The 15983-nt window shown below is 41.7% G+C and overlaps 1 protein-coding gene across 16 annotated transcripts in view, besides 1 other annotated feature; it reads right to left on the bottom strand.

Annotated features, from left to right (window-relative positions):
* SAMD4A (sterile alpha motif domain containing 4A) overlaps positions 1-15983 on the bottom strand; it is a 228000-nt gene that overhangs the window by 73816 nt on the left and 138201 nt on the right. The window lies entirely within an intron of this gene.
* Positions 9863-9912: a silencer, noted in NCBI's record as "silent region_5773". NCBI's record gives its function as "represses an Ori minimal core promoter by ATAC-STARR-seq in GM12878 lymphoblastoid cells {active_cell/tissue: GM12878}" and the evidence as "EXISTENCE:reporter gene assay evidence [ECO:0000049][PMID:35858748]".

The following is a 15983-nucleotide window of genomic DNA, read 5'->3' as shown; positions in this document are numbered from 1 at the left end:
GTCCTAATTCTCCCTTCAATCCTAGAAACCAGGCCGCCTCCATTGCTAGATTTGGGAGTTGTGGATCAGAGCTGGAACAATTTGGGAAAGTCAGACTCAACTTTGAATGATAGGACTTGAAGAAAAGCAAACTTCTCCAGCACCAAAGGAAGCCTTCAAGTCTACTCTGTCACGGGCTTAGGGCTGTGATTCCCAATGGGACCCTCATGACCGTCATGGACCCATTTTAGACTTGGCAGTGGGGTCTACACAATTGTGTAGACTTGGCAGTGGGGTTCTTTAAGTTGAAGATAAATCTGGGTGTCAAGCAGGTTGCCTTTCCTCTAGAGTTCTGATAGCCCAGCCAAAGCCCCATTCAAATCCTTGTCAGTCTGGAGGATTCCAAAAGGCTGAGTCTAAGCTGGCTGTTCTACAAGAAGGAAGGGGAATGGGGAAAGGCGTTCCTTTGAACCCTTCTTTCCCAAAGTCAGGATTCTTTTTTTTCTTTTTTTTTTTTTGAGATGGAGTTTCGCTCTGTCACCCAGGCTAGAGTGCAATGGTATGATCTCAGCTTACTGCAACCTCTGCCTCCTGGGTTCAAGCGATTCTCCTGCTTCAGCCTTCCAAGTAGCTGGGATTACAGGTGCCCGCCACACGCCCAGCTGATTTTTGTAGTTTTAGTACAGATGGGGTTTCACCATGTTGGCCAGGCTGGTCTCAAACCCCTGAACTCAGGTGATCTGCCTGCCTTGGCCTCCCAAAGTGCTGGGATTACAGGCGTAAGCTACTGTGCCTGGCCCAAAGTCAGGATTCTTAAGGGAACTCTCCAGGACATGCTTCGTTTCTCTCAGTCTGTGTCATTTAGGGTGGCAGAATGGTCTCACAGGGTTAACATCTCTGGAAGTAAACCATTTACCCAATATGATGTAGTGGAGTTAGAAAAAACAACAACAACAACAACAACAAAAAACCCAAAAAAACTAGCCTGCAGGCAAAAGCAATCTGGGTCAAAGAGTTTCAGCAGGCCTTTTACTAAGAGTCACACTATTTTGAGAGTACAGCTCTTGAGTGTATAAAGCTTCTTGCTCCTAAGCCATTGCTGGGGCAGCCAAAAACACAAAGCCCTGGTTAAGGAGAGGAACATATCCTTTCTTTCTTGGCCACTTTGTGGCTATTCTTCCAGTAGTGAAGCCTCAAGAAGTAAACATGAAATCTTTCCTTGCTCTGTTCTTTAAGAAAAAGCATTCATTCCTTGTGTTGACCTTTCTAAAAAGTTTGTTTATGCAACTGCAAAAGAGTGGAAGGCAGCTCACACGCAGACATGCAGACGTGAATGGAGAGATGGTCACGAGTGTGACCCCAGCTCTATCCCAGTTGAGTGCTTAAAGAGCTTTTCTCTGGGCAACTGCTTCTCTAGCACCCCATAATTAGCCTGGTCTCTGAATTGCATATAGATTGAGTGGCTGGGGGAAGAGGAGCAAGAGAATAGCTCTAGAAGCAAATAAAAATTATGCAGCTGTCTCTAGCAAGAAAAAGAGAGAATCACCAACAGAAAATTGGGAAAGAACTGTGACCATACACAGCTTTAAATTCTCTTTCACAAATCTCATAGATTGAGCAAAAAAAAAAAAAAAAACCTTCAAGCAACATATTTGCTTGCAAGACATCTCCTTTTTCTGAGTATTGACAATACTCATTCCTGAACAACAGCGAGGTCTGCAAAGATGCTTACCTTGAATTTAGGATCTGTAGTTCAGATCCACTTTCAGGGACTGCCTAGCCTCAATCACGTTGTCAGTCTCATACCCAAAGTAGAGACACTCTTGGGCATCAAGGACTCTCAGACTTTGAACTTTAGCCACAATATTTTGAGATTCCAGGTGAATTTAGAGCTACATTGCCAAAAGTAAACAAATCTATAAATGTGGTCATTTTTACCCAGAGATGTCATTATGGACTTTTAGATTAATACTTGGATGTAACATTGTGTTGGGGTATTAACATTATGCTGCTAAATCTAGCAGAATGAATAACAACATCATAGGCATGAAAAAAATTTCTTTCTTTTTTTTTTTTTTTTGAGACAGGGTCTTGCTCTGTAGTCCAGGCTGGAGTGCAGTGGTGCAATCATAGCTCACTGCAGCTCAAATTCCTGGGCTCAAGCGATCCTTCTGCCTCAGCCTCCCAAGGAGCTGGGACCACAGGTGTAAGCCATCACACCTGGCTAATTTTTTATTTTTTTGTAGAGATAGGGGTCTAGCTATGTTGCCCAGGCTGGTCTTGAACTCCTGCACTCAGGCAATCCTCCCCGCTCGGCCTCCCAAAATGTTGGGATGACAGGTGTGGGCCATTGCCAAAATAATTTCTTGAATAATGATGAACATATGTGAACAACACCCTTTCTCACAATGTAGCTCCCTAAGGCCTCATGACTACACCCAAATTCTCCCAACTTTGCAAGCATGCTGCAGTCTTGAGCATTCTCCCAACACATGCATTGGATGCAGACCCAGGGCAATATTCTGGCCAAATCATCATGTCAATGTCTCTCCTCAGCAAGTTCTCTAACTCCTGATGTATCTGGGAAGCCTACATCCTCTGCATTTAGAAGCACCACTGAGAGGGGCATTGTAGCTGCCACCTGCCCTGCCCCGCAACTTCATATAAATGTGACTTGTTAAAAACAACACAAGCCACTTAAATAATCCAAACATACAATCAGAGAAGAAGAAAAAAACATGAATACTTAATACTTAAATAATCCCAACATACAATCAGAGAAGACTGTTAGACACATTGCCAAAAAAATCATCTACAGAAATCTTTTCAGTATTTGTTTTCAATACTTTATATTCACTTTGTTAGAGACCCTCAGGAACTGAGGACCTTACCCCCATTTAAGAGTTCCGGCAAATGAAGACTAACGAGCAACTAAGAAAATTCATATCCTGAATCATAGTTTTACTCAATGGGAAAATAATTTGATTTAAAAAAAGGTTGCTTCAACAACTTTTTGGAAATATACCCACTGTGTAAAATGAGACACCTCTGTAATATGTGTTTTGTCTCCTATGTTTCACCTGGGTACTAACAAGAGATACAGAGAGTATATTCAATTTCTTAATACTATGTACCCTCTCGTCAGCCCTTGTCTTCTGAGAAAGTTTAATTTCTAGGCTCTGTAGGACAGTGTTGGGTGCTCTACCTATCGATCGAGGCCTCTCAAGAACCTGGAGCTGAGGAATACATGTCTGACTTTGTTTTGACTTGGGTATAGCAAAAGTTGTTTGTTTTTTAACCGAAAATGGGTAGTTTTTGAGACAGGGCAAAAGCTGAGTGTCCCTGCTTCCACTGTGAAAATATTTGACTTATTGGTACTTGAATAAGACCAGTAACATGCTAAATATTTATCAGATCTCTTAAAACAAAGAGCCTTCGAATAGTCCACTTTTCTTCCAAAAGAATCTGTCTTGATGAAACCACAATCATCAAGCAAGAATGGCTTTCAAGTGGCCTGTGATTCAGGTGCCAAGCAACAGAACTTGGTGATCCTCTGATTTTTTTTTCTTTAGAATCCACATTTATAACTGTAGCATGCTCCTGAAGTTTCATCATCACCATGACCTTAAACCAGTATTATTTTTGCCAATTTTCTTTTCTTTCTATATGGCAGAGACTAAGGAACTCATGATACTGTGTTTCCTATTAATAAACTCTAATACGTTTCTAAATTATCAGATCACCCCTTATTTAGCATTATTATTCCAGGCTGAATCATTTTGCTTTTTATTTTAGGCTATCTTCTTTTTCCCCTCTTTCTTCACTAATATCCTCATGTATTTCTCATTTTATATATTTTTAATAGGTAATACATGACATTAATATGGTGCTTACTTCAAAGAGCAGGATGATAAATAATTCCCCCACCCTGTCCACCAGACTTCCCTTCACACTCCAGGTAGCAGTTACTGATTTTTTCACATTCTTTTTTAAAATTAGGGGGACCAAAACCGTATTAGATTTTTCACGTAGTATGTAGTTAATGCTGAATACAGCAGGAGGCTCTCTTCCTGGCTTTGTCACATCCCACTTCTCCTAGACATTTCACTCTCCTCCCCCACCCAGCCCAAAATGAGTACTATCGACTCATCAGCAGCACTCTCTGAGTTGAAGATTCTACTTTGGAAGCAAAGAATAAAAGTGCTAAGAAGGAGCCTTAGGGGTCATCCAACCCCAAACTTTCATAAAGAAGTGAGAATCCCCGTGAGTTTAAGATCACACTCTGAGTTGGAAGTGAATTCACTATGGCAATTTTTTTTTTCTTTCAAATACTCTGCCCTCTTGGGACTGGTCACACTTCCCTGGCCTGAATGTGTGTACAGAGCCTCATTTGTTCCTATTAAATCCTATTCTGTTACTTAAGGATAATTTTTAAAAGTGTGAATAATATTCTTATAATTATTACTAATTTAAAAAACTATTCCTATTCATAATGGATCCCAAAGAAGCAACATCAACACAATTTTACCTTACTCTTTATTATTTTAAAATCTGGTCCACTTTAAAGTATTTAGTAATATATATCACTAGAACAATCCTTAAGGGAATAATGGTATTTGTGGAAGGCTGGCTCTTTGTAGAACTGATTCAAAGTATCTTGATTTCAATTTAGCATAATGGGATAGCTTTGTCATAGGGCTTCCCCAGAGATCCTATTCCATCATAGTTTACTGCAGAGGCTGGGCTTGTGGAAGAAGCACCCTTACTATTACCAGCAGTAATAACGACAACAATAAGGGCTATCCTACTGGCAAGTGCTTTACACACATTTCTCATTTAATCCTCACAACCACCCTTAAATGCTCTCTTAACTCATCTTCACTTAACCAACTTTCTGGACCAACCACTACTCTCCATTCCCTTTAAACTACTTACTGATGCTCATGGCTTACTGACTCCCCTAGCACTGTAATTTACTTGTGCCCTTCTGCTCCCACCAGCTGACTTGTAGGTGTACCAAGGGTCAAACAGGTTGTTCCCAAGCCTGTTTATGCCAGTTGTACTTACTGTAAATATGTAATTTTAAAACACATCACAGAAACAATGACACACAAGTTATAAAGTTAACTGCAAAAAAACTTAAATGCTTTAGAAATATTCATTATTTTTGCTTAAAAATCTACTGTTGAATTCAGTGTGAGTGAGAAAACTATAAGCTAAATTGTAAAAAGAAAAACTAGAATCTAGAGAGTCTATGCTCTGATGTTTTTGCAAATGCCTTTAAATTCCTGCTCCATTTTAAAGAAATCAAAGACAGTAACGTATTAAGGGTATGATTTATGCAGGAAAGACATAGAGCAACCTGTCAGGTACCCTCTTCTTAGAGAAAAGGCTATCATGCTATACGAAAGGCTGAAAATGGATATAGATATTTATGTTTTAAGATAAAATTATACATTTAAAGTCTTATTTGTTATGATTCCCTTCTTTAAACAGCTAGTACAATGAATGCATCAACTACCTATCTGGATCAAGTCAATGAAGAAGCCTTCTACTGAAATTTATTCTCATTTTATAGATGAGGAAAGGAGGCTTAGAGGTCAAGTAACTTGTCCATAACTATACCTCTAGTTATTGGAAAAACTGGACTTTAAAACCAACTTGTCTGACTTCAAAGTTGTTCTTAATCAAGACTGCCTCATTGTTTATGTACCAACTTGAATCTCTCAAACACTATTCACAGCCTTATAATTAATTCCCTTTATATAGCAATGTCTTACTGTGCAAAGCAGAAGACTAAAGCATAAAGTAATCCATTATAAATCTTTTAGCTCCATATGGGTTTTGCTGGGCTTTTCCAAAAGGATGCATCTCAGAAAGGCTGGCTGTGAAACAAATCTCTAAAGCAAACCCTGTGCTCCCATTGGCTTCACTGTCTAGCTCTAGCCATGGAATTTGTCTGTGGAAATGGTCCAAAGTTTTAGCAAGGAATGACTACCCTGGAGTATGTTGGGAGTTTTAGCCTTCCTCCAACCCACAAAAATCCTTTATAGCATTTTCCAGATTTTGGAGCCCCCTGCTCACCTGGCTTCCTCATCTCCACACCCTGCTCTTAACTGACTGATACCTGAGATTTCCTGAGAATGTATTTTACCTAATAGAATGTTGAGAGCTGGGGTGGGGATGGGAGATGGCCGGAATGAGATTTAGTGTTTAACAGTTAGAAAATATACCCTAGATTGACAATAGTTGATGGCACTAACATTTACCCTCACCTCGGTACCTAAGACCGTGAAATTCAAAGGTTTAATTTTTTGAAATTAAAGATATCAAAGATATGTGTAAGCTACAGTCATGAGACATCTTTCTTTAGTGTAGCCTGAGTTTACTCGGGAAATCTTAAAAGAAAAAAAAATCAGTAAATGCAAATTTAAAAGTTTTCCTGTCTGTTTGTAGAACAGCTATAGTTAGTCTATGACTCTAAATCTTGTGAAATAACAGAAATCATAAGACTACAGGGCTCAAAAAGGGTCTTACAGAAGCCATCCTGTTCATCTCCCCTTTCCTCCTCCCCTCTTCCAGGCTAGTCCAACTTAAGCCATTTATTCCAGCCAGAATCCATCCTATTTTTAAAGTCTGGTGGGGAATGAGAACACAACTGTCTTCCTCTGTAGCTCATCTAGTGTTTAATAACCCTCACTGTCACTGAAGTCTAAAAAAATCTTCCTGGATGGGGGATGGAGAGCACAGCCTCATGACCCAAGGTGCATGCAGCCCATGGAGGTCTCTGGCTTTTTCCAGGCAGAGGGATCTCCAACACATGATCAACTAGCAGGCTTCTCGCCCACTACAGCATTTTTCTGATCATTCCTCCCCAAGCCTTGGAAAACAGACACTAGGCATGATGAGGAAAAACACAGTCCGGTAAAAACCCTGGACTCTTGGAAACAGGAGAAGGATCAGCCGGTGGCAACATCGAGTCCTCTGAGATATCACTGAGTCATGTTTACAATGTAGTATGTATTAGGAAGGCCAGTGCCATACTAAAAAAAGTTTCCCCCAAAGGGGAAGGAAGCTAAAGCTAAAAATATACCATGCCAGCTGTTATAAATGCTTCTCAAAGAAAGCAAACCAACTCTTTCATTAGTTACCTCTTTGAAGAGCAAATGAGGGGTTAAGGAAATAATGGAATTTTTCAGTTACATGCCAGGTTGGCTAGATTTTTGGGAGGAAGAAATTTTCCACCGAGAAAGAAAGTCTGCTGGTAAAAGGCAAAATAATTCCATGAAAGATTTCAAAGGAACTCCAGACTACAACAGTGGCTCCAAAGGCTTTGGGTGGGGATGACCTGCAGCCTGCAAGATAGAATCAGGGTCCCCAGGCTTCACCCTTCCTTTTTAGGTTCCAAGAGGCCATTTGCAAAGGCCTCTTTCCTTGCCAGACCCATCTAGAGCTGAGCTGCCTGGTGTCTCTCCCTCTCTTGAATATCTGTGTTCTGATGGTTCTCACAGGCTGACTGAAATGCACTTGAAGCGGTTTGTGGCCTTGTGAAAAAAGGTGAAGGGCAAAAGGAAGAGGAAGGACTTCATGAGCAAAACAAGTACCTTTGAAATCGCTGACTCTTGCCGCATTAGGGGCTGAGAGAAATGGAGGTTTTTTTCCCGTAGCAGATCAGGGGCTCCTAAGGGAGCCACTTTCCCTGAGATTCACTCCTACTCGTCCTCCACTTTGCTTGCAGAAGTTGTTTAGTTTCAGATGTTGGCTCTATGAGGCCTAGCAGCCATCCTTTCCATAAATGCAAGGACTTCCTCTACCCCTCAGGAAGACCAAGAACAAGGACCAAACCAATGTCCTCCCCCGAACCCCTCCAAAATCCAGGCACTGAATATCCCAAGTAATTTTTGTTTTTTAACTTTTAATTTTGACGTAATTATAGATTTACAAGAAATTGCAGAAATACTACCCAGAGACGTCTCATGTACCCATCACCCAGCTTCCCCCAAGGTGACATCTTACGTATCAATAGTGCATTATCAAAATCAGAAGCTTGACATTAATGCAATACAACTAACTAGACTACAGGCCTTATTCAGATCTCAGCTGTTTTTACGATCACTAGTTTTTTTGGGTATACATTTGTAACTATGGCAGTTCATCACATGTATAAATTCATGTAACTATCTCTATAATCAAGGTATGTTTTTAAAAGTCTGTTAGTATTGAAACTGATTTGGTCAAATAAGTCAAAAAGGAGCAAGAGTAACAATAAATGTCACTAAGGTGATTATGACAGAAGGCTAAATGATCAATATTATCACCAAATATTTAGTGAATTCCTAGGGACATTTTCTTGTTTATTTTGGAAATTCATTATTTTCATGAACATGTGCCTAGTGAGCTCAGGAATTTATTAAGTCCCTACTGTTCAGCAAACATTTATGGCAGGGTGGGCAGACAAGCTTCAGCTCACATGCCATCTCTTATTGAATTATAGTGGTTGCCTAGAGGGGCATATTGAGGATGATTCAGAGGCCACATCTGGGCTTAGCAAGAGACGGCCATCGTCCAACAAGGTGCTCTGCCACTGCAGCTGAATCTGTGCCAGGAATTTGACATTTCCAAAATTTCTGTGACTTTTTGAGCCACACATTATCCCAGGTGCTGGGAAATACGGATAAAGAAGATACAACCCCTATCCCCAAGGAGCTCACAGTCGGGAAGGATAGGTGAACATGGCGACCAAAAACTGACACAAAATGCTAAGAGCTGACACCGAGTTGTGTGGATCGGTGCAAAGACTGCTCCCTGCTTCAGAGAGTCACAGAGATGGGGCAATTCAGGCAGGGTCTCATACCTGTGGGCTGTGGAGACCACGGAAGCTGGAGGGTCTGTATGGGGCCAAATCCAGGGTCAGAGAAAAGCAAGAGTCTACTAGCTACTCATTCAAATTCTGAGGATAGGATTAGGAGGGAGAGGCAAGTAATAACATCGATTTCCAGGGGCCTCACTGCCTAGGTTCACATCCCAGCTGAACTACTTAGTAGGTCTGTGATGTTGGTCACATTACCTAACCTTTCTGTGCTCCAGTTCCCTTAGCTGTTAAATGGGGATAACAATAATACCCACCATCATGAGGTTATGAGGATTCAATGAGTTAATATTTATGTAAAGGGTTTTAAACAGTACCCAATATATAGTAAACACTATGTAGGTGTGTGCTATCATTGTTAATTTACTTTTTATCTTCTATGGTACCAAACACATCATTTTTATCATCAGAAAAAAATCAAGATTAATAAAATAAATACTAAGATTCCACAATGTGCCATGAATCTGTAGAAGTGGACAGATTAAATGGAGCATTTTGGCATAATTTAGGTATCCAAAGTTTCTGAGTTCTTACCTCATGTTGGGCTAACAAAGGCCAGCATGCTTTCAAATCCAAATGTCAATAATGCAAAGAAAAGTCAAGTGTTGCAATTATTTGAATAAAAACAAGTTTCATTTGTAGCTGTAGCACAGAGATTTCTTCCAGGTCCAGGTCCACCAGGGAAGAACAGACAAGGGTCAGAAAGGCAGTTTGGGGCAACTGAGGTAGCACTGACAACCACACAGGGGAATTCTGTAGGCTCTTAAGAAAGCCAGGAAATACTTATTCTTTGCCTGAATGGTTTACTTTTCTTCTATAACAGACCTTAGACAGGAAGCAAACCTAGAGATGCTAATCCGGGTTCTATCTGCCTATATTTGGAATTAATTGCTCTTGATGGGTGAAACAAAGTTGACCAAGCCTTGTGTAAGGTTTGTCACAGCCAATACCTTGATCCTGTCTGGTCCTACAGGCTCGTGGTGAAGAACACACACATTCTTGTTCTTAGTCAGCATACCCTTGAGTGGCCTTACTAGAACAAGGTGCTAAAAAAATACATTCTTCTCTTTCTTTTGAAGTGCTCTGATGTCATCCAAAAGGCTGCATAACAGATTTTTCAACCTATCCCAACCCACTCTTCCCTTATCTCATGGTAGAAAAGGTCCTTGAGATGTCACTTGACTTAACCTCTGCAACCAATAAAAGATACTCTTGCCTCTCGATGAATGAAAATACGTAGATTCTCATTAGATTAGGACTTAGGTTTTGGCTCCTACTCATCCTTATTCTAATCCTGTCCTTCAAAACTCTGTGTAACTATAGCACCTATTTTTTTCTTTTCTTCTGTTTTTTGTTTGTTTGTTTGTTTGTTTTTGAGACAGAGGCTTATTCTGTCACCCAGACTGAAGTGCAGTGGTGTGATCTCGGGTCACTGCAACCTCTACCTCCCAGGCTCAAGTGATCCTCCCTCCTCAGCTTCCTGAGTAGATGGGACTATAGACACACACCACCACACCCGGCTAATTTTTGTATTTTTTATAGAGATGTGGTTTCACCACGTTGCCCAGGCTGGTCTGGAACTCCTGAGCTTATGCGATCTGCCTGCCTGGGTCTCCCAAAGTGCTGGGATTACAGTGAGCCACTGCATCCGGCCTCTATCACCTATTTTTAATGCCTTCTAAACATCACTTTTCTCCATCTCAGTGCTCCAACATCTCAACATAAACATACATCCAAAATCTAGCATGTGGCCAGTTTGTCTCCCTCTTACCTCCAATCTCTTTGGAGTCATTAACTTTTTTCATCCCTTAATTACCTACCATGTGCTAAGTGCTCTCAGTTTTACCTCTGTTATCCCTCTTTGATAAATCCAGTGGTCAATCCTTGGTCTTCATCTCATTAACCTATCTGTAACATTTTACTCAGTTGATCACTCTTCTCTCCTGGAAACATTTTCTTCATGTGCTTTGTAAGGCACACACACTTGAGTTTTCTCCAACCTCAAGGGTTTCTCCTTAGTTTCTTTTACTACTTCCCCTGCTTTTCTCCAGCTTTCAGGTTGAGGTGCCCAGGCCTGGGGGCCTTGGCCTTCTTTATCTACAGTCTCTGCCTTTTCTCTCTGCCAGTCTCTGGCAATTTCATTTAGTCCTAGCATTAAATACCACCCATGTGCTGCTAACTCCCAAATGTCTATTTTAGACCACTTCTCTCTCCCAAACTGCACACTCATATATCCCACTACCTACTCAGTATCTCCAACAGACATGCCAAACTCATCGTATATGACACTGAACTCCCGAGCTTACTCCAAATCCTACTCTACCTGATAAAGACTTTCCCTGTCTCAACTGATAGCAACACCCAGTTGCCTAGGCAAAAAGCACTGGAGTCCTCCTTCAATCCTCTCCTTCAAACCCTTCATTTATTCTGTCAGGAAATCCTGTTGGTTCTATTTTCAAAATATATCTAGAGCCTGACTTCTTCTCACCCTTCTACTGTAGCCATCCTGGTTTGAGCCATCTTCTCTTGCCTGATTACTGCAACAGACTCTTAACTGGTTTTCCTGTTTCTGTCCTTGCCCTATCTATTCTTAAGACAGCAGCCAAAGAGAACCTTTTAAAATGTGAGTTGGATCATGTCACTTTTCTGTTGGAAATCCTCCAATAGCTTTCTGGTTTATTGACAGCAAAAGTCCAAGTCCTTGCAATGACCTACAATGCCCATTCTGTCTCCAGCCTCTCCGACCACTGTCTACCTCGTTCAATCCCTTTCAGACACCAGCCTTCTTGCTTTTTCCCCTAGCAAGTCTGCCTTCCTGTTTTTCCCCCTAGCAAGTCAGGCACTGTTTTGTCTTGGGATCTTTGCTCCAGCTTTATCTCTGCTTGGAATACTCTTTGCTCCAGATGCCCACTTGGCTAACTTCCACTCCTTCAACTCTCTGCTCACACCCCACTTTCTCAAAGGGGTCTACCCTGACCACCCTGTTTCATGGTCTAGTCACCTCATTACATAGGCCTGATCCTACCCTTGTTCTTATTTCCACATCACCTATCATCTTCTACCACACATATACTTTATTTATATACTACAATTTGTACACACTAGACTGCCAGTGCCCCAAGGGAAGGCAGCTTTGTCTTATCCACTGATACATCTCAAGTGCCTTGAGCAGGGAAGACACAACAGTAGGCACTCAATAAACATTTTCTAGGTGAATGAAAAAATGAGTAAATCAATAATGTATGTCAGGCTGGGTGTGGTGGCTCATATCTATAATCCCAGCACTTTGGGAGGCTTACGCAGGAGGATTATTTGAGCCCAGGAGTTTGAGACCAGCCTGGGCAACACAGGGAGACCCTGTCTCCACAAAAAATACAAAAATTATCTGGGTGTGGTGGTGCATGCCTGTGGTCCCAGATACTCAAGAGGCTGAGGTGGGAGGATTGCTTGAGTCCAGGAGGTTGATGCTGCTGTGAGCCATGATCACACTACTGTACTCCAGCCTGGGCAACATAGCAAGAGCCTGTCTCAAAAAAAAAAAAAAAAAAAGTATGTCCATATCAATACTGAATCCCAATCCTAATAATTCCACCTAGGAACATTTCTAGTATCCATTCCTTCTGCTCCATACGTGCTCCTATCCTAATGATACTTTTATTACTTCAAAACTTTGAAACTTGCTGACTCTGCACTTGTCAGATGCCACTCATCTGGTTTGCTCATAATCCATTTCCCCAATACAGCATGTCACTCCTATGCCTAGGGTGTCAATGCTTGGCCTCTTCGGGGCAGTTCCCTCAGCCTACTTTTACCACCTGCCTTCACTACCTCTCCCTTCATGAGCCTGTTCTTCCTCTTCACTGTCCTCCATCTTGCCTGCACACTGTGACCCCCGTCCCTTTGCTCTCAGTGCGTATTCCTACCCAGGGGCCCCCTCCCCTCCAGACTCTCCTTCCTCTTTCCATCTTAGCTCACTTTCCATTTCCCCTGCAAAAGCTTGCTTTTTCTTTCCTGGTTTTTTTCTTTCTTTCTTTCTTTTTTTTTTTTGAGACAGAGTCTTGCTCTGTCACCCAGGCTGGAGTACAGTGGCACCACCTCGGCTCACTACAACCTCTGTCTCCCAGGTTCAAGCAATTCTCCTGCCTCAACCTTCTGCGTAGCTGGGATTACAGGCATGCACCACCATGCCCAGCTAGTTTTTGTATGTTTAGTAGAGATAGGGTTTCACCATGTTGGCCAGGCTGGTCTTGAACTCCTGACCTCAAGTGATCTGCCCACCTTGGCCTCCCAAAGTGCTGGGATTACAGGTGTGAGCCACCAATGCCCGGTCTTTTTTTTCTTTCTTCTTCTTCTTCTTTTTTTTTTTTTTTTGAGACTAAGTCTTGCTCTGTCACCCAGGCTGGAGTGCAGTGACACGATCACAGCTCACTTCAGCCACCTCATCAGACTAATTTTTTTTCTTTTTTTGAAGAGATGGGGTCTAGCTATGTTGTTCAGACTGTTCTTGAATTTCTGGCCTCAAGCAATCCTCCCACGTTGGCCTCCCAAAGTGTTGGGATTACAGGCATGAGCCACTGTACCTGGCCCAAAGGCTTTCTTGACCCTCCAGTTCACAAGGATCTCTCCATTCTGTACATTCACAGCACTTACAGGATAGGCCTACATTCAACTGGCACTTCATCCTATATGCCTTGTGGCAGCTCTTAGAGTATTATTTTACTGCACTTTTATATAACTCATGAATTGTTATATGAAATTTCTATGGATGATAAGTCCAGCAAAAAGGAATATTTAATTTTTAATTGTGATACTGATTCATATATCATATCTCTCCAATTACAGGCTCCCTGGAAGTGTTAACAGGGTCTTCAGCTTCCTGGTATTTCCCATGGACTTACACGCAGTGCTAGGCACACAGAAGATGGACAGGAAGCATTTGCGGGGTAGTTGAATGATTGGGAATCCATACAGGGAGGAAGCCACGAATGCTAAGGCATTCTGTTGAAGGCACAATGACTGAGCAATAAAATAGCAGTGGAATAAACCAAGGTTAAAAACAAAAACAAAAACAAAAACAAAAACTAAGGAGGTGGCTGGCCTTCTGGTTACCTTTTATTCAACATCATTAACGTGGCTGATAATTTGAAAATGTGTAGTACTAATTGATTTGTTTTTAACATCATATTGTCTTACGCAGATTGTTTTTCCACTTTGAAAGAGGTAAGAAGTGTAGCTCTTCAGTGCAGTAGAAGAAGCCTTAAGTCCAACCCAATTTCTATTGCAGTGGAATGGCCAAAAATCACAGCATATTCAAGGCCCCTTAGAATACTGCGCATGGCTCTGGGCTCAGGGTAAGGTGCTTATGTCAGGCGCCCATCAGAACTGAAAATGAGGGCAAAGACTCTGCATATCAGTGTTAACACTTAGCTCCTCACCGTCTTTCCCAGTTTCTTTCATTTATTCATCTAACAGGTACCCCTGGAGTGCTTACTGTTGCTGCTGCAACCAGGCTGGGCATTTACATAATCTTATTTACCTTCACTACAGCCCTCAAAGGTAGATATTGTGAATGTTCCAGTTTTACAAGTGGGCACCTTGATCAGAGAGGTTAAATTACTTGGCCAAGCTGTAGTTAGCAAATTGCCTGTCTGGGATTTGGACCTAGGAGGCGTTGATGCCAAAGTCCTTGTTCTTCCCTCTGTCAGGCTGCCTCCCAGGTGCTCAGGGTTTATTGATAGAGGCATGAGTGAACAAGTGACCCAAAGGCTTGGAGTTTTGACTCACACAATTGAACCACCATAGGCAACACAGAGGAGTACAGCAATGACATTCGCATTTTCTTAAAGAGATATTATTGACATATAAGTGTTGATATGGTCATGAGTGTTTGAATGAAACTTTCTGGAGGGGAGATCTGAGCTCTTTGATCTTCTCTGATGCTCTGGAAGAGGGCTCCGATGCCTGCCTTCTTCCAGAGGTATGTCAGCTAGTCATCTGGTTAAGCCTCCAAGTCCTTTTCACTCAAGTATTACATAGGGGTTCAGAGGTCAGTAAGGCCATGACAGTCATCTACAAATTTTCTACCCTCTATGGGTCTGGCTGGGTGGCCACAGCCAGAAATAGGTGCTTGATGACTACAACCTGATAACCATCTTAAATGTACTAAATGTCAAGACCTGATCCTGAATGTATAAATCAGTAGATAGAAATATATAATGACCCAAGACTAATTTTGAGACAAATGACATAAAACTCAACTGTTTAAAATACAAAAGACCAAGTTTTAAGAGGGCAGGCAGCTTAGAGTTTGCATCTCTCCCAGCTATTCAAGAGTTTTGTAACAATTACTAGATTCTGTTGCTGATGCAGGAAACTTAGACCAAGAGACTGTCATCTGCCTGCATGTCATCACTCCTTATCATACAGAGACGAGTAAACTGTTCCTGCTGGATTATAGTCTGTGAAAGACAGTGTCATCAGAACCTCTTATATAATAAATTAAGATGCAGTAATCACCTAATTCCCATAATGTGCAAGTTAACCATATCTAAATGGAAAAGCAGAAAAAAGAATTTAAAAAAATCCCATGTTGTAGCAATATCAATGCAGTATCTTCAGTGTTTGCTTGGTTATTCCACTGAGGTACTGTTTCAGTTCATGTAGCTGTAACTCAACAATCCTACCTATTTGAGAAAGCCATTTAAAGAGTCCTGGTAACCAAAGATCCAAGTAGGAACAGATGCCAAGAAGGCATCACTGCCAATTCTTTTTCTTTTTTTTTTCTCTTCTGAGACTCATGCTATTGCCCAGGCTGAAGTGCAATGGCACAATCTCATCTCACTGCAACCTCTGCCTCTTGGGTTCAAGTGATTCCTTAACCTCAGCCTCCCGAGTAGCTGGGATTACAGGCATACACCACCATGTCCGGCTAATTTTTGTATTTTTTGGTAGAGATAGAGTTTCACCATGTTGGCCAGGCTGGTCTTGAATTCCTGACCTCAAGTGATCTGCCCGCCTAGGCCTCCCAAAGTGGTGGGATCACAGGCCTGAGTCTCTGTGCCGGCACCCCAATTATTAATCCTCTCATATCTTTTAACTGGGGGTTCCTGCATGAAGACAGGCACACGAGGTCTAA

Source organism: Homo sapiens, chromosome 14 (assembly GCF_000001405.40).
Source record: "Homo sapiens chromosome 14, GRCh38.p14 Primary Assembly".
Taxonomy (NCBI): Eukaryota; Metazoa; Chordata; class Mammalia; order Primates; family Hominidae; genus Homo; species Homo sapiens.
This window is presented reverse-complemented; position numbering and strand designations above follow the sequence as displayed.